This window comes from Homo sapiens, chromosome 13 (assembly GCF_000001405.40).
Source record: "Homo sapiens chromosome 13, GRCh38.p14 Primary Assembly".
Lineage (NCBI taxonomy): Eukaryota > Metazoa > Chordata > Mammalia > Primates > Hominidae > Homo > Homo sapiens.
Genome location: NC_000013.11, coordinates 81,822,402 through 81,846,047, shown reverse-complemented (window position 1 = coordinate 81,846,047; position 23,646 = coordinate 81,822,402). Strand labels below are relative to the sequence as shown.

The 23,646-nt window shown below is 33.4% G+C and overlaps 1 long non-coding RNA gene across 2 annotated transcripts in view; it reads right to left on the bottom strand.

Moving 5' to 3' along the window:
* The window catches only part of LOC105370284 (uncharacterized), a 43,873-nt gene that overhangs the window by 2,791 nt on the left and 17,436 nt on the right, over positions 1-23,646 (bottom strand). Inside the window, exons 1-2 of one of the 2 annotated variants that reach the window (XR_942127.3) lie at positions 4,562-4,665; positions 3,228-3,300 (exon numbers count right to left, since the gene is read on the bottom strand). This is a non-coding gene — a long non-coding RNA (uncharacterized LOC105370284). Of the gene's footprint in view, positions 1-3,227; positions 3,301-4,561; positions 4,666-23,646 lie in introns of those variants that run through there. The other variant, XR_001750061.1, reaches the window with a different exon arrangement.

Below are 23,646 nucleotides of genomic sequence, written 5' to 3'. Positions count from 1 at the left end.
AACAAATGAAGTAATACTTCCTATCTTTGATGAGCATCAGTCATTGAAGTATATTTTGTGCAGGCCTCAGTGTGGGGTTGTGGGTGAGTGAATTGTCAGAGGCAGAGATAGTGATAATATTTTTGGCATATTGAGATTATATGCAAAGGGAAATGCAAATATAAAGCCAAAGTCCTCCTCATACAGGTCATGCCTGAATAAAGTTTTATCCATTTGATTTCCATCTATTTTTCTGTACCTATTTATTCAATTAACATTTGCATTTCCCTTTGCATATAATTTCAATATGCCAAAAATTACACTGGCATATTGAGCCAATGTAATTATATTAATTAAATTATATATTATATATATAATTGTTTCAAAACCATGCCTGTTTTTGTTTTAGATAAAACTTAAAAATAACAACCCTTATGATTTTATCAAAATGAATTGCTTTTGAGTTAGTACATACATATCCTGTTCTATGTTACTTTTATTTTTAGAAATTATAAACAGCATACATTTATTGAATTGTTACTGTGTCTTGGGTATTTTTTCAAGCATTTGACATAGTTAAATGCTTTTGAAGCACATGATAAACATATTAAGTAGAAGTTATTTCATGTACTGTGTTTTCTCATAGAGATAGTTAATACCTTACTCTAGATCACACTGATAGGAATTATCTAGTGAAGTCAGAAATTAAAATAAGAAATTTTAAAGCCACAAAGTTAAACAGCCCCTATACCAAAATCCCTTGAAATATTAAGATAAATATTCCCACAGTCAAATATTTTGATCATACTTATTTAATTAATACTTTATATAAGAACCAACTTAAATGAAATATACTTTTCTTTGGAAACTCTCATTTTCTAGTACTCTTCTTTGAGACCAGCAATTTGATACTGCTATCATATTTTAAAATATTATTATTATTTCTAAGACATTTAGGGATGATTTTCTATTCTGTGCAGTAATTTAATTCCCAAATAATGCCAGACTACATTCTCATTGTACAAATTTACACATTGAATATAAGGTCAAAGTCCTCTGGCTGTATAAAGCTTTATGCATTTGATTTCAATCTGTGTCTCTGTATTTATTTATTCAATTTTTATAGGCCTCCACGAAAATACACAATGGGGTTTTATGCATATGTATATTCGTATGTGAGATCCTATTTCAATATGTGTCTGGAATTCAATTCACCCTATTTGTTGTTTTGCACTAACCAAATTATCTTTTCATTCTAGGCCATATATTCTAGTATATTTTTAAATTGCTGTGTTGCGATTTACTTTTTGAGTCACCCAATTCTGTTTTTTTACTCTTTGTTTTTGTTCTTTTCTCTGTACCACAAAGCTGCAATATTTTCTTGTACATGCATTCTTTGCTTAACTCACTTATTTTAGTTATATACTAAGAATTGGCTTTGCAATATCATGGTGTTTTTACATGAATAAGGCGAAATTACACTTCAAATGTTGATGTGATAACTTTTGTTCACGATAGTCGATATAATCATTGTTAAATATTTTCCAAACTTTTCTATGTATTATTAGTTGTAATTATTTGAATGATATACTTCGCTTTGTTTTTGCTTATTTGCATTGCTTATTTATAAAGCATGAGCTTCCTTTTTAAATATTTTGTAACCAAGTTGCTCTTCTACATATTACCTCTTCATATGTTTTGCCCGGCTTCCTTTGCAGACTTCTACTTTTTGTCTTATAGATATAGTCAACATATTCTTTTTTCCTTCTTCCTTTTTTTTTTTTTTTGAGATGAGTGTCTTTGAACTCCTGGGCCCAAGTGATCCTCCTGGCTTAGCATCCAGAGTAACTGGGACTACAGGTGCACACCCCCACTCCCATCTCACTTTTTTATCTTTTGCAGAGACGGGGCCTTGCTATGTTGCTCAGGGTGTTCTCAAACTCTGGGCATCAAGTGATCCTCCTGCCTCAACCCTCCAAATGGTTGAGTTTACAAGCATGATCCACCATGATAGGCAATGCCTTCTTACATATGTGTGTATGTGTGTGTATGTGTGTGTGTGTGAGCATGTGTGTATGATATATTTTCTTTTAGGTTGTCTAATATTTATTCTATTTGTATAACATCTTTTTAAGTACAGAAGTATTAAATATTTGGTTTGGTAGTTTTCTTTAGATTCATATTTTTAATGACAGCAAGGATAATATGTCTTATAAGTTTCTAGTGCTTATACTAGCCTCCTAAACAAATTAAGCACACAAAATATATTTTTATGAATAAAATAATAACTGCATTAGCCTACATTTTTATAATTTCATGAGTTTATTTAGCATTTATATTTTTAACTTACTCGGATTTTATTTTTGCAATTAGTGTGAAACAGAAATATTTTCTCCAATTGGATACCCAATCTTCTCATGCAATTTTATGAATAAAGAATCATAGAATTTTATAGCTTTGTAATATCACTGCCATCACATACAGTTTCATTTGTCAAAGAGAAATTGCAGGAGAGAGTTAAGCAGGCAAGGAAGACTTCAAGGCTATTTCAGTTGCAGTCAAGTCTATCCTAATTGGGAGACAGAACCCAATTCTTCTGGAAAAAAAAATGCAGGAGAGTTTTTAAGCACCGAAGTGCCTTAGTGAGAAAATAACTGGAGGACATTAAAATGAGGGTTGGCCAGTGAAATTAGGCCAATGTGCTTGTTAATTGACGTTTACTGAAGTTAGGTCCTTATCTTCCCACAGACGGAGGAAGATACAGGCTCTACTGTTCTTAAAGATTACATTTTAGAGGGATAATTCCAAGGTCCAAGGCATTCCTGGGTTGTAAAAATGGCAAGAGTTTTGGAGATAATTTACATCTCAATGTAGCTGAAAAATCATTACAGGTTTTCTAAAACCAGCGCTCAAAAAATGGAGGGACAGGGGCTTAGAGTCGGGAAAATATCTTAGTCAAGCCAAAAGGAGTGTCAAGGCTTCTAGTTCACATTAGAATTATAATTTTTCTGGACCATATTGTGTCATATTAATAAATGTTTATAACTGAAGCATTTCTCATTTAATTACTATTGCTTGCTAATACTTTAATAGCCAGACACTAAATACACACATGTGTTACCCTTTTTTTATTAAACATTTTTTCTTTGGCAATTTTCTTGTCTATAAGAGTTTTAACTCCAGCTTGTCAATTTCTAAGAAAGATTATTTTGAGATAATCATTGAATATAAAATAGATGGCCTCTTACCCACAAAAATGTCATTCTTCTCTTCTTCCTTGCAACAAAACCACAATCTTTTCCAGGGCAATAAAATGCTCAACTAGAAAAAATAAAGCAAAACATTTGTTAGCATTAGATAAAATGGTGGCCATTGAATATCCATAAATGATATTTGCTGAGAATATCTGGGATAATTTTGCTTTCCTGACATAAACGCTATTGTTTTCTCACCGTTATTTCATTATATTTTCCCTTGCCAGGAAGGCAGGAGAAAAACTGAAGCGGAAATAAACAACAGCAGCCAGTGTGGAACCATTCAAAAATTCACACCACTACATCTACACATATATTGCTCTCAGCTATTAACCTACAAATATGAATGCTCCCATCAAAATCAAGTCGTTCTATATGTACACTAGATCCTAACTCCTTTCAGCTATGGAAGAACATCAATTAACACTCTTTTCTCTCTGCAACATCATGGATTTAGTTTTTACTAAAGATAGACAGATATTTGTCTATATATATAGAGAGATATATAGATATCTATATCGATATAGTGAGAGATTCTCCAAGATTATTTCAGAGCTTTAAGATTTAATTACTACTTTGTTGGATTTCAGACTTGCATGGGGCCTGTAGCCCCTTTATTTTGGTCAATTTCTTCTGTTTGTAACGGGTGTGTTTACCCAATGCCTATACCCCAATAGTATCTAGGAAGTAACTAACTTGCTTTTGATTTTACAGGCTCACAGGTGGAAGGAACTCATTTGTCTCAGAGAGAGAGAAAGGGAGGTTTCTAAATATCTACCCAGCTACAGCTATATTTACTTGCTCCGCCTTGGACAAAATACTTCAAAAAATAAAATAATTATGTAATCTCACTGGCTCAAATCCCATTTTCATTCCTGTCTGAATCAAAACAATCTAGCTTTCACCAAGCTATCAAAACTATAGCTCTTGAAATTACCAATGAGTCAATGTCGCTAAAACCAATGGTCTATTTTTGATCTTCATTTTCTGCTTGATCTCACAGAAACATTTGACATGAGCTCTAAGTTTATCCTTTTTTTAATGTAACAAAAAAAATACATAACATTCAATTTACCATCTTAACTATTTTAAGTGTTGTAAACCCCCAAAACTTGAGACGGGTCTCAGTTAATTTAGAAAGTTTATTTTGCCAAGGTTGAGGATGCACCCGTGACACAGCCTCACGATGTCTTGACGACATGTGCCCAAGGTGGTCGGGGCACAGCTTGGTTTTATACATTTTAGGGAGACATGAGACATCAATCAATCTATGTAAAAGTACATTAGTTCCATCTAGAAAGGGGGAAAGAGATCAAAGCAAGGCCCACCCCACTGCCGCCAACTGGGGTCTTCCAGGTCACATGTAGGTGAGAGACAGATGGTTGTGTTCTTTTGAGTTTCTGATAAGTCTTTCCAGAAGAGGCAATCAGAATATGCATCTATTCCTGTAAGGAGAGAGATGACTTTGAATAGAATGGGAGACAGATTTGTCCTGAGCAGTTCACAGCTTGAAGGGACCCAAGATACTTTCCTTTCAGTTTACAGTTCAGTAGTAAGTACATTCACATTTTGCGCAGAAGAGCTGTATAATATTTTTCATTTTGCAACACTGAAACTTTGTACTCACGACACAATAATTCTTCCCCCTCTATCCAGACCTCAGTAATCATCTTTCTATTTGTGCTTCTATAATTTTTATGACTTTACATGCTTTATGTGACTGGAATCATACAGTATCTTTCCTTTTGTGACTGGCTTATTTCTCTTAGCTTAATGACCTTGAGGTTCATCCATATTATAGTATGAGACAAGATTTTCTTCTCTTTAAAGACTGAATACTATTCTATTATATATATATATATATATATATATATATATATATATATAAACACATTTTTAAACCCATTCATTCGTCAGTGGAAATTTGAGTTTCTTTTGCTTCTTGGGTATTGTGAATAAGGCAATAGTAGACAAAAGTATGCAAATATCATTTTGGAATCTGCTTTGAATTACTTTGGATATATACCCAGTAGTAGCATTGCTGGGTATATTCTACTAGTGGGGCTATATCCAAATGGTAATTCTATTTTTAATTTTTAGAGGCACCTCAATCTGTTTCCTATAATGGCAGTACATTTTACATTCCCACCAACAGTACATAAGGGTTCCAACTTCTACACATTCTTGCCAACCATTATTATTTTCTATTTTTATAGTGCCTATCTTGACGGGTGTAAGGTGATATCTCATTGTGGTTTGTGGTTTTTGAATTGCTTTTCTAATGATTAGTAATGTTGAGCATCTTTTCATGGGCTTGTTGGCCATTTCTATATGTTTTTTTAAGAAATGTACATTTAAGTTTATATGGTTTGGCTGTGTCCCCATCCAAATCTCATCCTGTAGCTGGCATAATTCCACCTGTTGTGGGAGGAACCCGGTGGGAGATGATTGAATCATGGGGCGGGTCTTTCCCATGCCATTCTCCGTGAAAGGGAATGGGTCTCACAAGATCCGTTTTAAAAATGGGAGTTTCTCTGCACAAGCTCTCTTCTTGCCTGCTATCATCCACATAAGGTGTAATTTGCTTCTCCTTGCCTTCCACCACGATTGTGAGACCTCCCCAGCCATGTGGAACTGTAAGTGAATAAACCTCTTTTTCTTGTAAATTGCCCAGTCTCGGGTATTCAGCAGCGTGAAAACAGACTAAAACAGAAAATCCTTTGATAATTTTTAATTGGGTTGTTGTTTTCAAGTTGTAGAAATTCCTCATATATATTCTTTATGTATTATTACCAAATATATGATTTGCAATTTTTTCCTTCCATTGCATTGGTTGCCCTTTCTTTGTGATAACTGCCCTTAATTCATTCTTTTCAGTTTTTTCCAAATCACCTTATTCTCCTATGTTTTCACTTGATTCAATAGGCACTACTTTTAAGATTCTTTTGCTTGTTTCTCCACTCCTGTGCTAACTTATACTGTTGGACTCTTTCAGGGCTCAGTCCTTGGTCCTCTTTTCTATGTGCATATATTCCTTTGAGGATAAATTTCAGTATCATTACATTAACTCACATCTGTGTATGATTATGATCCCAAATTACATCTCCAGAATAGACATGTGAGGCTTGTACATGCACTTTCCTACATAACTACTGATAATGAGCTACTGATCTACCCTATTTCTACCAGCATCTTATCAATCTCCGTTGATAACAACTCTGTTCTTCAAATTGATACTCAAAAACTTGTAGTTATTGATATTTCTAGCTTTCATTTATAGCCGCATATCTCGTGTTCAATAAAATTATGTTTATCTTCAAAATATGTTCATGCTAAGATTAATGCAAGAGAAAGATAAAAGAAGCCTGAGATATTGATGAATTCATTGAGTAGCTTCACCAAGCCATGAAGGTTCTGACCAAAAATTTTGAATGAGTAAAATAGACTCTGATGTTAATATGTTTCTGTGTACACATCGGTTTGGCTATGTCCCAACCAAACTCTCATCTTGAATTGTAGTTCCCATAATCCCTATGTGTCATGGGAGGGACCAAGTGGGAGGTAATTGAATTATGGAAGCGGTTACCCTCATGCTCTTCTTGTGATAGTAAGTTCTCATGAGATCTGATGGTTTTATAAGGGGTTCCTCCTTCACTTGGTTCACATTCCTCTCCTTCCGGACACCATGTGAAAAAGGACATGTTTGCTTCCCCTTCTGCCATGATTGTAAGTTTCCCGAGGCCTCCCTAGTCATGCTGAACTGTGAGTCAATTACATCTCTTTCCTTTATAAACTCTCCAGTCTCAGGAATATCTTTATTAGTAGTGTGACAATGGACTAATACAGGCATCAAATCCAGTTTTAACTGGTAGAGATAATTGTCATCTGTACAATATTCAGTGCAAATTTTCATGAATGTCTTATGTTGTTCTTTAGTAACATTTATGCTTTTCTGTATGTTCTAGTACAAATCTTATAAAAATTATCCCTTGAAATCTTATAAACATTATGACTGTGAGTATATATTTTGTTCACTGTATTTTTTTCTGTTAGATTTTTTTAAGTAGTTAATAGTATACTGGTAAGGTACTAATGGTTTTGCTTTTATCTTTCAGCATAATATTAAATAGAAACTTCTGTAATAGAAACTTCATAATATTAAATAGAAACTTCTGTAATTCTGAAGTAATTACAGAAGTAATTAATTAATTATAATTAATATAATAAATTATAAATGTAGGGGGCCCAAGTGCAGTTTTGTGACATGAATATGTGAATAGTGTACATTGTATCCCTAAATTTCTCATCCCTCACCCTTCTCCCACTCTCTCACACTTCCAAGTCTCCAATGTATAGTATTCTACACTCTATGTCCATGTGTACATATTATTTAGCTCTCACTTATAAGTAAGAAGTTGCAGTATTTGACTGTTTCTGAGTTATTTCACTTAAGATAATTGACCTCCTGTTCCATCCATGTTACTGCAAAAGACATGATTTTATTCTTGTTTATGTCTTAGTACTATTCTGTTACATATGTATATATCAATTATTCTTTATCCAGTCTTCCAGTGATGAACACTTTGTTTTAGTCCATACTATTGGTACTATAAATAGTGCTAATATAAACATACTATCTTTTGATACTATACAAGTATCTTTTTAATACTATACAGCTATCTTTTTGACATAATAATTTATTTTCCTTTGGATAGTTACCCAGTAACAGCATTGCTGGTTCGAATGGTAGATCTGTTTTTAATTCTTTGAGAAATTTTCATACTGTTTTCCAGAGAGGTTGCACTAATTACATACTCCAAGATAGACCATCTGTTAGGCTACAAAACAAGTCTCAATAAATTTTAAAAACTCAAAATCAAACCAAGTATTTCATCAGACAACAGCAAAATAAAACTAGAAATCAATTTCAAGAGGAACTCTTGAAACTATACAAATATATATAGTTTAAACAAGATACTCCTGTACTGTCTTTTAGTCAACAACAAAATTAAGACAGAAATTTAAAAAATAATTAATGAAGATGAAAACATAACATACCAGAACCTCTGGCATACAGCAAATTCAGTATTTATATTATTTAACTTCAAAGATATTAAGTCTGATATTAATCACAATGCTTTGTGTATCAATACTTAATCAAATTAAGATTTCTTTTACTAGCTAGTTGTATAATATTTTGTTTTCTTCAATTAATTTGGAATATTTAAATTAAATAGTTTTTTATACTTTAAGAGAATTACAACTTATTTTTCTTTATCCTGTTCATAGGATAAATACTAATTACTATCTTTCTTCTTGAGAGTTACTTACTCTCAATTATACTTTGAAAATAGTAATCTCAGAGATAACCTGAGTATGCTTATACTACTTTGGATTGAAGTTCTTTATCCAAATGTATTGTCAAAAGAATCTAGCATACATGCATTCTCCTCTCTTACTCATCATGTATTCTGCCATTGCCTTAAGGATGGAACAGTGGAAGAAAACTCAGTACTGTGGAGGACGGCTTAGAAGTAGAACCTTATCCCATCCCAATTCACTAAGTGAAATACTGGTGTCGGTGGACATATCTCTTAATGGAAAATTGTTTAACACTTTACAAAATTAGGAATAAATTAGAATTTCTGTCTAAATGTCTTGCTAGTATTGAATATTCATGTGATTGAAACCACATGTTCTTTGGTTGCTGATTGTAGACTAGTGCTAATGATAGAATAAATAACAATTTAGACAGTTATTTTTTCTCATGCCCCATTTATAGAGTTATCATGGACAGTATTTCATTATCTGCCTGACCCTTACCACTTCACACTGGATCCATCCTTCCAACACTTTTTATGCCATTTAACAAACAGATCAGACCCATCCTGTCTTTTACAACTGCCTGAATATAGAAATATAAGTATGTGTTATGTGTGTATGTGTGCGTGCCACATGACTAAAAGAAAGAGGTTTCTGTTTTCACCACAAGTTCTTAGGATAATTTTAGTAATTTTACTTTTAACCAATTGAAGAATTAAGACTTGCTCTCAGCAATGAAATAAATTAATCTTTAGTATTTATACTAGACACTATTAAAAAGTTTTGCGTATTTTCTTTTTTTGACTGTAATGAACACATGGATTTAACTTTGCTTCAATGAGAAATGCAAGCAGTTTCTAACGTAATCTTCCTAAACTGTTCTCACTGGTGCATAGTACATCTCCTAGGGCTAGTGGTTTTAAACATTTCAAAGGCATGGAAATCTCAAGTGTAAATACGTCTCTTAGTAATTTAAAATTCTTCACTTACCTAGTATCTTTTTCTTAAACTAACACTTCCTATATTGATGATTACTTTAATACAGCAGACCATTTGTTAGAAATTGAAACCATTCTGATGGGAAATAAAATGTTAGGATGTCTAAATTCCAATTAAATGCACTGCTGAACTCTATTCCTTTAGCTGAGAAACTGGAAATAAAAACTTCAGGCTGTGACCGTGACTTAAAAGATGCATTGATTGATAAGGCATGGTCCTTAATTTTTAAACATTTAACTGGATGAAAAGATATCAGAATAATAATCAATCTGTGCTTATAAAATGAAACACACTTAGATGTAAATGTGACTTGAATTTTTTTTTTCAGGAAACATATTGCATATTTAGTATGTTTAAGTTATTGGAAGATAATGCAGCAACCCAGTTTTGTTTTAAGCCTTATGATTAGAACCTTGCATTGCTAAAGTTCTTTTACCATCAATGGAAAATGAGGTGGCTGAACCTAGTTTGTTCTTTCTTTCATTCCTGGAGACTTTGAATTAATTAACTCAAGGCCAAAATTGTTAAGACCACTGAAGAAAGATGAGACTCACTGGGTGAGACTTAGTGAGTAAACTGTGAAATGATACCAAAAAGAAAAAAACCTTTTGATACATGATCTTTTAATTAATAATAAGCTATTAATTTAAAACTCAGTCAAAACCTTAAAATAAAATTTAGCTTGAATACAAATTACTAATATTTAAGGAAAAAAGAAAAAATTTTAGAGGAAACTGTCAAATTTCATAAACTAACTTTTAAAAGTTGTTTATTTTGATTTATCTTTTAAAAACATTTTAAAGACATTATTTTGAATATCTCATGTTGAAAAATTCTAATGGATATAAATCCTAAAATTCAATAACATGCAATTTGAGGTGATCTGCATAAAAAACCATGCCTGTAATCCCAGCACTTTGGGAGGCCCAGGCGGGTGGATCACGAGGTCAGGGGTTCGAGACCAGCAGCCTGGCCAACATAGTGAAACCTCATCTCTACTAAAAATACAAAAAATTAGCCAGGTGTGATGGCAGGCACCTGTAGCCCCAAATATTGGGGAGGCTGAGTCAGGAGAATCGTTTGAACCTGGAAGGCGGAGGTTGCGGTGAGCTGAGATCACACCACTGCACTCCAGCCTGGGCAACAAGAGTGAAGCTCCATCTCAAAAAAAGAAAAAAAGAAAAAAAAAAAAGAAGTATGCTCTTCACATCTCATGCTAAAAGTGAAAATTGTCTAACCAAAGCTTCTTGGCTAATAGTAGATCAGAATAAGAGCAAATGCTCAGCCAAATCAATCAACCTCCTCACTCCCCTCTTCATTTTTTCCGCTAAATTAACCTATCTGGTATTTCTGAAAATATTCACATCTAGGAATACTGAATTTGATATTAGATAGTCTTTCTTGTATTATTACATTTAGCTATGTGAGACCATTTTAATGAGCTCTATCCCAGTAATACATATGAGTGAATTGCCCATGGGTCTGTGTATGTCTGTGTGAGTGTGTATGCATTTAATTTTTTTGCCTTATCCTTTTATTATTTGACTGAAGGGGCAGTAGGCTGGAGGTTCATTTATGTTAGATTGTAGTAAACCCATACTTAATATATCATCAATTCAATATAGTTATAACAAGTTATCACTATTCAGCTGAACTCAACACATTTACTTATCACCAACATTTTGCTAGATGATTGGTGTCCAAAGAGTTTTTTCCTGGTGACTGGCTGAATTGATAAGTTGTTTAAGTTTGGCTTACCTCAACTATAACATTTATAGTTTTACTTATTTCATAGATGGAGAGAGATATAAAGTATAACTAACATTTTTTAAAAATACAAAATTATTTTTGCTATATACTAAAATGATTTCTACAAAATTTTTATGCTCTATAAAGAGCTAGCTTTTAGGAGTGTTGTACTAAGGAAATTTTGACTATAATTATCTAGGTATTTGGTGCCAATTATGCAATAATTTTGACCAAACCTTTTAAATTTTCTCACAGTTCTGTTATGTATTAAAAACTATGATTTTAGCTTTCAAATTTACACTGCATGAGTTTCAAAGTTTTGGCCATGTGCTCCCTTTTTGAATATACATTCAGTCCAGGCATAGTGGCTCAAGCCTGTAATCCCAGCACTTTGGGAGGCTAAATTGGGAGCACTGCTTGACTCCAGGATACCAGCCTGGGTAACAAAGTGAGACCTTGTCTCGACAAAAATTCAAAAATTTAGCCAGGCATGGTGGCACGTGCTTGTAGTTCCAGCTGTCCAAGAGACTGAGGCAAGAGGATACCTTGAGCCTAGGAAACCGAGACTGCAATGAGCCCTGTAGTAAAATCATGTAAGAATGTAAAAAAGTGTTTGCATTTTCCAAAATGGAATTCCCAAAAGGTTTTCCACAAGTATTTTGGATTAAAACAACAATTTACCCCATGAAATGTGATTAGAACATAGATGCTTACAAAAATTTCAGCACCCACTTTCAGTGGGACTGGAATTCTTAAAAATGACAGGCTTCGACGAAATAGATAATTGTTCAGCCTCTGTTTTAGCCATACATATTTTCAGGAGAATATTTTTACATGTACATGTTTCTTTATTTATAAAAATTCATGTTCATCCATAAAAGCAGCACGATGTTTCTTATTTTACATTATTCTACAATATAGTATTAGTTAACTCTTAGTATCATTATTTATTGGTGTAAAATAAGTCATGATTGGAAGTCCCATTTTGTTAATGTGAAAATTGTTGGGCAAAATCTAGGCTTAGATGACAACTCTAATTTCGTTTAATACTAAGTAATATCTTTAGGTCACATAAACCCACTAAGCTTGATTGTCAAATGAGATTAAAGTATTTTGTTTTTATTTCACATGGTTTTTTGAGCATCAAATAATGCCAATACAAATGAAAATTATTTTCATTACTAGAAACTAAATATGCATGTTAAGTTTAGTTTAATCGGTGATGGAGTTCAGGACACACTACCCCAAAATATGGCACATTGGCATGTGAGAAAGCTGCAGAAGCCAGAAGGTGGCTCTCACCTTCTGTTTATCCTTTCTCTCCTGAAGCAGATAATAAAATGTGAGAAGGTCATTCTCTGACTTTCTCTCACCCTTCTCCTTTGAAACAGATCATAACAATGATATAGGAGTTAAGAAGGAATAACTTAGGCAAATAGCAAGGGCATGGGAATCCTTGGTAAGGCTTTTCTTTTTAATGAAAAGCAGTCCCAAATTATTTTTCTTTCTAACAAAGAGCAGCCTGTAAAATTGAGCTGCAGACATAGATACCGGCAGTTGTGCCAATCATGTTCAACAAATCATGTTCAAGATGGCAGCTCCATCTTCCCTTCTCTTTGTCAGCCACGTGTACAGTAAGAAGCAGACAAGATGGCACTGATCAACTGGAAAGCCCATTGCATAATAAGATTAGGGTGGGCGACCAGGCTTCCCCAAGAACTATGTAGATGTCATACCTGATTGAACCAATCTGTGAGCCTTACGTAAATCAGACACTGCTTTCTCCAACCTGCCTATAAAATCTGCTGCCGTCTCCCGCCTCCCACCTTTTTGGACATTCCTCTCTTGCAAGGAGCTGCTTTCCTCTGTCCTTTCTTCTATTAAACTTTCCACTCCTTAACCCACCTACATGTGTCCATGTCCTGAATTCTTTCTTGGCACGTTACAACGAACCCCAGGATATATACCCCAGACAGCAGAGCAGTTTCAACACCCTCCTTCGAACAGTGCACTCACCATACCCAGAGGAAAGCCACATCCTGATCCCTGCAGACACAGGTACACAGAAAACTCTGAACAAACAGAACTTGCTAATTCCCATTAGTGTGTTATCATAACATCATGCCTCCTTTGTCCAATCATGCTTCCACATGACTGTCCATTCTTCATCAAACCTAGGCATAAAATTACACACATTTTCCTGTTTCATTGAGTTTTTATTTCCTTATGAAAGCTCCTGTGTCATACAAACCTTATATTAAATGCTTCTGTATGCTTTTCTCTTATTAATCTGTCTTTTGTTATAAGAGCCTCAACCATGAACATTGCAATGGGTGAGGAAAAACATCTTTCTTCTTCTACAATTAATATAAATTTTCTTAATATATTTCAACTAGCAACAGACATATACACATACAAATATTTTCATGAATTATAATTACTTTCAAAACATTGTTGGCAAGGTCTATCCTAGTTATAAGCATCAAACAGAGAAATACATTGGTGTTTACTGCCAAAAAAAAGTTCCCTTTGAAAGTGGCGGTGGCTCTTTTTCTCTCATCATGAAGGTCCCCTGGTGTCTGTGCCTGTATGTTGGAGTGAGGTCCAGGAAAAGCAAGGGAAGACTCCTCTTATGCATAGATGTGCCTAACTTGCACCATTTTATCTTTCTCTCCAACTATTTTTCTTGTGCATTTTTTTCATTCACACCCAGTCTTTAATTTTAGTGCATACTTCTAGTTCTAAAGTTGTTGATTGCAGAGAGGTTTCCCACTGCATCCACATAACACGAACACATCCCTGACACCATGGTGGATTCAGTTCTGGCATCGAACCTGGTCATCTATTTACTTGAATTAATTATTCCTAGAAATTTATTGATATTTTTTCTGTACTCAAATCCATGCTAAGGTTATCTCAAATATCAGAAATATTTTTATAATTTCAAACTTAAGGAGAGAAGTTAGCTAAAATTCTTTTTTTTGTAGAAATTTTATTTTATAAGATTGGACATTCATCAGCCCCTTTTGGGCAAATTAGAAATCTACCTCCTGAAGGGTGAAGGGGTGAGATAAAATTTACAGTGCAAACACATCCCTGTAATATGTGTTTTGTAAGAGAATTTAAATACATTTTCAGCCACATATGTTTTTCTCTTTGAATTTATTAAGAATTTTAAAACAACAGAATTATGGACTTTGTTTATATCCTTTCTTTCCCACAAAGGCATATAAATGCATCAGAAAATAACCAACAATATTAAAAAATAGATTAGATATATGGTGCACATAAGAAAAATAAGATAAAGCCAGAGGTAGTGATAATATGCAAATCCTACAGTTATAAAACATTCTACATATCTGCTAAAATGGACAACAAATTTGAGTCTAAAATTTCTAACTTTCAAAGCAAAGATCCTTGCAGAGATATAGAATATCCTAAGGGGCTAACAACAAATGGTTCCTCAAGAAAAAGCACAGCTCTCCTGATTCTAAGACTGAAATAAATTTATCCTGTGAGCTCCATAACTGAAGGCTCTTAGAAGTGGTAGAGATATTAGTGTTCAGCCAGTCCAAGAACCTATTCAATGCCTGTATTCATTCTACTCTATCCTTTCTAAAAGACCATATCTCTACTGGAATGAGTCCATTGGGCAGAAAGCTCAGCACTAATATGGCATTTTATTATTTAGCAGACAATTTCTAGTTTTTTAAAACAATGTATTCCATTTGTTTAGCCTCCTTTTATGTATAATCCTCTGGTCATAATTCTAATTCTCTGGAGCAAAGTAAAACAAGAGTACTCTTTATTCCACTTTTAAATAATTTAAGAATTATTGTCAATGCTTCCTTATTCATACATATTTTTATTTACAAATTTGCATTGTGTTGCTACAATTTACTAGGCACTATGCTATAAGTTCAGTGTATATAATTATGAACAATGAAAAACATAGCTCTCTAAGTTGCACAAGATTTACAAAAAAAAAAATTCTTTAACTTGTATCTGTATTTTTCAGTTTCTCCTATGGGCTAAATATCAAGCATCTCCCTCTTCAGAGGTGCTCTTTATTCTCCACTGCCCTCCTCTGTTCCCGGGTAGCCTGACTCTAATGGATTATATTAATGGGTCCTTTGCCTTTTGGGATTCTAAATGGTTGGGGTTCAGCCAGAGGTAAACAATAGAAAGGGGGAAAGACAGTTAAGTGATGTCATTTACTTCTTCAGTTAACTCCCTATCAGGGCACCATCAGTTTCACCCATCAGCCAAAGGTCACAGCTTTTGTAAGGTAGTTTTGCTTCCAGTGTCTTATTTTTTTTTAATTTTATTTTTCCATAAGTGATTGGGGTACAGGTGGTATTTGGTTACATGAGTAAGTTCGTTAGTGGTGATTTGTGAGAACTTGGTGCACCCATCACCCAGGCAGTATACACTGTACCATATTTCTTGTCTTTTATCCCTCTCCGTCTCCCATCCTCCCCCCAAGTCTCCAAAGTCCGTTGTATCATTCTTAGGCCTTTCCATCCCCATAGCTTAGCTCCCACATATCAGTGAGAACATGAATGTTTGGTTTTCCATTGCTGAGTTACTTCACTCAGAATAATAGTCTCAAATCTCATCTAGGTCATTGCAAATGCTGTTAATTCATTCCTTTTTATGGCTGAGTAGTATTCCATCATATATCTATATCTACATATACACATATATGATGGAATATATACATATTCATATATATATGATAGAATATTATATATATTCATATGTATGATAGAATATATATATTCATATATATGTGATAGAATATATATATTCATATATATATGATAGAATATATATATTCATATATATGATAGAATATATATATTCATATATATATGATAGAATATATATATGATGGAATATATATATATCAGAGTTTATCCACTCATTGATGGGCATTTGGGTTGGTTCCACAACTTTGCTATTATGAATTTTGCTGCTATATTATGAATTGTGCTGCTGTAAACATGTGTGTGCAAATATCTTTTTTGAATAATGACTTATTTTCCTCTGGGTACATACCCAGTAGTGGGATGATCTTCAACAAAGCAAACAAAAATATAAAGTGGGGAAAGGACACCCTTTTCAACAAATGGTGCTGGGATAATTGGCTAGCCACATGTAGGAGAATGAAACTGGATCCTCATCTCTCAGCTTATACAAAAATCAACTCAAGATGGATTAAGGACATAAACCTAAGACCTGAAACTATAAAAATTCTAGAAGATAACATTGGAAAACCCCTTCTAGACATTGGCTTTGGCAAGGATTTCATGACCCAAAGCCCAAAATCAATTGCAATAAAAACAAGGATGAATAGCTGGGACCTAATTAAACTAAGAGCTTTTGCACAGCCAAAGGAACAGTCAGAAGAGTAAACAGACAACCCATAGAGTGGGAGAAAATCTTTATAATCTGTACATCTGACTAAGGGCTAATATCCAGAATCAACAACGAACTCAAACAAATCAGTAAAAAAAAAAAAAAAAACCCATCAAAAAGTGGGCTAAGGACATGAATAGACAATTATCAACAGAAGATATACAAATGTCCAACAAACATATGAAAAAATGCTCAACATCACTAATCATCAGGGAAATGAAAATCAAACCCACAATGCGATACCACCTTACTCCTGTAAGAATGGCCATAATCAAAGAATCAAAAAATAGTAGTTGTTGGTGTGGATGCGGTGATCAGGGAACACTTCTGTACTGCTGGTGGGAATGTAAACTAGTACGGCCGCTGTGGAAAACAGTGTGGAGATTCCTTAAAGAACTACCATTTTTTTCCAGTGTCTTATAATCAGTTTCTCTCTCCGTTTGCCACTCGGTTTGCCTAGGATGTCCAACTCTTTCTAGTTCAATGGTACTGAACATTCCCTGTGGTTTTCTTATACCATGGGCATTTAAAAAAAAATGATTTCTCATAAAATTAATTATTTTATTTTACTGTATTTGTTTCCTCATAGAACTATGACAAGAATAATTTGCCATACAGAAGTAATGCCAAGCATATAATAAATGTATGTAATAAATATCAAATAAAGAATGTTTTGGAACAAAACCCTAAAAGTTGATGATACAGAGTTCACCTTATTGTAGGTCTTTTCATCTTTCCCCTCCTCCTCCTCCTCCTTCCCCTCCTCTTCCTTCTTTGTTTTTCTCTCTCCGTATATTCTTCCATTCTCATACACAGAGAACCTTTGTAATTCTTGGAATCCATATATTTGTGATTCATGAATTAATATAGCTTTCATTAGGCAATTTTCTATGTGCTTCTAGACAATAAATTTCACTTCTTATTGACATTAGGAAATTATAGAGACAACTAAAATAGTTCAAAATTATATTAATATAGTATAGTATATAGTATATTTATGTAGTCATAAAAACAATAACCTTTAAATCCTATTATGTATTTTTCCAGGAATACTTTAATTTGTCAAGGATATGATTAAAGTGTGATGCCTAATGTTGTACAGTACATATATACTGAAAATACACCAATAGTTGTTTCATTGTCTTTATTTTATTGTAAATATATTTCGTAATTAGTTGCCATTCTTATTTTGATATACTAGCATAAATATGGCCAAACATGGTAGAAAAAAAAAAAAGACATCTGTACTCAGACCAATGATAATGCCTTCTGATTGATTTCAACTTTCTTTCATTCACTTGTAATAGTATAAATTACTGAAGGAGATACTTGAGTTTTTCCCTACAAATATCAAATTACATTCTAGTTATTTAATCTTAACAAGTAATGTGATGGTTGTCGTGAGTACACAGCAAGTAACTTCTTTGTTATTAGTTCTTTCATAGTGGAATATCTATGTTAGATGAAGACATATGTGATGAAATTATAAGACACATTAATGGAGATACTCCCATGTTTTATAAGAGCCAATGTTGTATGCTATATACTCAGACTAGAATTTAGAATTTATTTTATGCTCTATAAATATTTTATAACTGATTCATTAATGAATGATGGATTTGTAAAATGATATCCATGCAGTGTGGAGGTTACTAAAAATATGGACTGCTCACTTGAAACAAATGAGGACTTAACAGTCGACCCTACCACCATAATAGTTTGGAAATGAACAACACACAGAGGGAGAGTAATATTGTCTGAACTTTCAAGAAAGCAGTAAGAGTGAAAAGCAAAACGAAAAATAGAAAATCAAGAATTGATATCTTATCCGAAAGAGAAATGTAAAAGAGAATACCAATGTTATTTTCACTAATCAAGTAAATAGGAAGTCAAGAATTATGGATGTAAAATTAAAAAATTAAAACATATTACCCATTTCCAAAACTTTTAATTAGGATTATCCACTATTTTACCATAGGAAACCCCTAAACTGAGAACATTTTATTTTGATTGGTTAACAGCAGAAGCAACAGCCCTCTTGGCAGTCTGCTTTATGATGGTTTCATTACCATGTATGGAGAAGGTGATCGCATTATCTTTAGCAAAGCAAAGAAGGCTGAAATTTTGGAGCCTAGGAGTTGGAAGAATCATTGAGAGATAGAATAACAGCCTTCAGGGCCTCTTGAACCTTGACCAGACATGCTTGAAGTCCGCAACTTCTTTGCATTTTATGGAAATTATTTTTCAGACATGTGACCCAGTAGTGTCCTTGCTTTTTCTTTTGACCCAGAAGAGCCTGGGTTTTGTGTTATTGACAATTGGAAGCATCATAATTTATATTTGTGATCTCCCTATTATAAGCCTCTTAAAATTTTTTAATAAAAGAAAAAGCAAAACATTTTTTCCAGGTATTAAATTTATATAATAATTTCTTAGCCCTTGAGGTTAATTGTACCCAAATACTATAGCTGCTATATAAGGGAATGGTGTTTGTCAAATGGGAAGCATCAACAAAATTTATGTTTCAGTGTCTATACCTATAATTCATGCCACTCATTCACTTGTTGCACTCTCAACTAAACAAAACCTATTCATCTTTTCCCAAAAGAAAACATCCCAACATTTCTACCTCTTACTAAATCGTATCAACTCTTTTTGTCAGTTCCAGATGCATTACTTTATGGAACAGCTATGACTAAGTGATGTACACAAAAACATAAAAAAAAAATACAATGGTGGATAGAAAGAGAGGCGACAGAAATAAGGATTACTATTTGCAGAAAGATCAGAAAAACTTATATCACACCTTACTTCAGGAATAGCAAAGGATTTTTGAATTAGAGTAGGCAGTTTTGAATTAGAATAGTTAGAATAGGCAGTTACGTGAGCTGCTTGGTTAGCCAAACCAGAGGTACTCAGGTATACCCTCTTGTGAGGTTCTTATATGTGGAGTATCCTCTGAATACCCTTTGTCCATTTGAAGCAACTGCTCTGTACTTTACAGTCACATTCATAACATCACTTTAGGGGTTTGTATAACCTCATCAGCCAAATCCATATTGATGATAATGTATGTGTCTTGGTAAATTTGTCTTTTAAAAATCTGTTTAAAAAGCTTCTGCTAGTATGGCCAGCATCTGACAACAGAACCCCTGCCTAGCCATAGTTTCTAGATTAGAAGCAGGCATAGATGTATCTTGTTGCATATGGAATTGGTCTTGGTGCCTTAGTGACTTGTCTGTCGCACCGAGAAATGGCTTCACATTTTAGTCAAATTCAATCTGTCTTGTGGTATGGAGACAAAGTTATATTTATTCTTTCTCTTAAGAAATGTAAGCATGTTATTTTTAGGTGTAGAGAGTCTTGGCATATGAGAATTTTCCTGAGTCTCCTGCTAAGCTTCTCACCTCCATGTGTGAGCTAGCACCAGCTTCATATTTTATAATGCTTTTGTTCATCTGGATGAGCCAGATATGTCCAAGCTCCATACACCATTGAAAAAATGTTTTAATTATTATTAGTACAGAGAGTTTGCTTTTATTCAGATACTTTTGAAGATTATTCCTGCTCTAAAACCCACTCACATCAATCAATATGTAGAACTGTGTGAAAGAAGGAGGAGTTATTTTGGGAGCAGAAGGGAATTTCTATAATACCTTGAAATTACACTAGTTAAAAAACTATAATGTCATGTTATAAGCTTAACCATGTTAAATAGAAAATGACATTTGAAACGGTGACAATATGTCTTCCAACTTTGGAAAGCTCTTTTATGAACAGTTATTTTATTATATGGATTTGGCTTTGGAATAAGAGGTTCATGAATGTAGAGGATATGAGTTCATTTGCAAAGACTAATTTCTGTATGCGGTTAGACAGAAGTGAGTTTCTACCTCACAGGAGTGGCAACTTCACTGAAATATTAAATTCAGAGGGGACAATGACTCCTTTTTTTTTAGACGGAGTCTCGCTCTGTCGCCCAGGCTGGAGTGCAGTGGCGCAAACTCGGCTCACTGCAAGCTCCGCCTCCCCGGTTCACGCCATTCTCCTGCCTCAGCCTCCCGAGTAGCTAGGACTACAGGTGCCTGCCACCACGCCCGGCTAATTTTTTTGTATGTTTAATAGAGACGGGGTTTCACCATGTTAGCCAGGATGGTCTCGATCTCCTGACCTTGTGATCTGCCCGCCTCGGCCTCCCAAAGTGCTGGGATTACAGGCGTGAGCCACTGCGCCTGGCCGACTCTATTTTTCATAAAGTCAGCCAGTATGTTCAGACTAATATCACCTTGTAGTGTACTTGTTATAAAGCTAACTAAATAACTCATTAAACTACTAAATGAATTAAAAGTCACAATCATAGTGGAGGATTATTCCTACACGTATTATCTGGTTATTCTACTATTTTTTGTCTTGCTTTAGGATATCCCTTTCACTAATGAAATCTCAAATTTTGGAACACTACAAATTATCATCCTGGTTGTCTACCTTTAAAAGTTATGAAATATACTATCATTACTACAAAAATAATTATTTTGCTCACTTAAAATACATATATATGAATGTTTTTCTACTATTATGATAAATATTTTTTTCAGAAAGAGGCATTCTAGTTTGAATAAAATCTTATTATATAAGAAACAAGACGAGGATTAATGAATTTAAATTTTATTGGGAGCAGAAAGAGAGGAAAATAAATTTGTAGTCACCACTCATTAAATGTTAAATCACTGGTTAATTATTATATCTTACTGAGTTTCATTTTCTTCCTTTATAAAATGGAAATTTTCCTAATGTTTTTGCAAGACTGTACTAGAATATTAAGTGCATTGTATGTTGCCTCTCACAAATATGTCTTTAATATATGTTTTTCAGCTGTTCTCCAATTAAGTCAGAATCATTTGCAGAAATATTCAAAATAGTATTGCATAAATAAAAATGCATATCTTTATGTGTATTTAGAAATAATCACTGTATTTCTTGCTAAAGTCTTTTAAAACCGTATTTTTCACTAATTAATATGGCAGTGTTCAACCTTCAGTAATCATATGAATTTTTATTATGATTTAAGTGTAAGTATTTGTATCTTATTAATGCAGTAAGCAAATTGAAATCAACCAGCTTTTAAAAAATTGCTCACTTTACAATCTTTTATCATTGTAACACTCCTTATGAAAAATATATTAGTCATTAAAATAATTGACAGTTATAAAATGTGCTCTTTATTGCCTAACTTATCACAAAGTTTTGATGCACTTTATAATCTATAAATATTTAAATTTCTAGTGACCCCTTTCTTGCAATGATTCATTGTTTATGCATCATAAAGTTGTTCTGTTATCTATCATTATAAAACAGATATGCATACTTTTTCAAGAGTTAACTGAGAGTCAGCTTGTAATAATCAATAATATTCATTAGTCATTGTCAAAGAAAAGCAATATTAAATTCAAGAGCAATGTGATTTAGTTGAAAGAGCCAAGATATATAAATTACCTATCACGGATTGTGCTTCTGGTTTTTCAGCCAGAAGCAGAAATGAAAAGGATGTTAAATTTATCAAAATCCCTTTTGAAAATATGGAAATGCAGGCCTAGTGGATAAGTGATAGCTCAGGATCCTAACAGAAATTATGAAAGCAGAATTTAAGTTTAACTTTTTTTCTGGCTATACAATGCTTTAAAAATTGTCTTTATAAATTACATAATAAAACAAAAAACAAAAATTAAATGAGCTTCCTTCAAGCTCATGCATCCATCTAAGTATACTCCAGACTTCCTAAGCAAAGGATATTGAGCAAGTTCAACCCTCACTGTCTCTTGTTGTAGTCTTCATTTTTCAATTAACCACAAAATACAGATTTACAATCATACTTTTCCAAGATTGCTGATCTTTTCAATTCAAATTGTTAATCCATATGTAACATTTCAAATGTTTTTATCTGCTACTAAACTTGGCTCATTGTGACTTATATAAATCCTTACTTTTTATTTTTTCTGGTATTCTTTTTCTTTTCTAATCCCTCTACACAGATTATTATTTTTATTTATATTCTCAAAATGAGATTCTTACTACAAAGAACAAATTGGGAAAATGCTGTCAGGCAGACAACTAATAGTATTCTTCTACATAAAATTATTTCTGGATATTATCTTATTAGACATTTCTGCAGCATTTATTCATTTACCTCATTAAAATTCTCCCATTTTACAGTAAGTGGTTCCATATGATCTTTCTTCCCACTTCCCATGTTGATCTCTGTAATTTTTTTATGGACTTTAATTTTCTATTCATTTCTAATATATTTTTCCCTGAAACATTTATTTTTTTTCTTTTCACTCTTCATTTGTTATGAAACTAATTCCAATAGTTTCAGTTTTATATGCTACATTTTTTATATTTACATTCTATATTCAGCCTATTCTTTTTCATTTGTTGGTTCCCTTACACTCAGGCAAGAGCATCTGCTGACATGGATCCCAAGCCGAAAAGGGCCAGTATATCATACACACATGTATATGAACATATACACACAAATAGTAACACACACACACACACACACACACACAGAGAGAGAGAGAGAGAGAGAGAGAGAAATAAATTGCTTGTTCTATTTCCTAGGAACGAATGCTGCCATAAGAATGCTGTGAAGAGACATTGGTTGTATCTTTGCCAATGATGTGGAGAGACACCACTTCAGAATTCAGGACTAGTTTAATTAACAAAGTGAAAAGGCACATATTTTAACTTTTCAAATATTTCCTCTTAGAGCAAACAAATTAATAATTCTTGCAAAACAAAGTATTATTTTCCAGTAGAGTCAAGCATCAATTTTCTTGATTATCTCCATGCTCTACTTATTGGTTCCAGAGACACTCAATGAATGTAACATTTATAAACATTGAACATGATGGCTGGGAAAGAT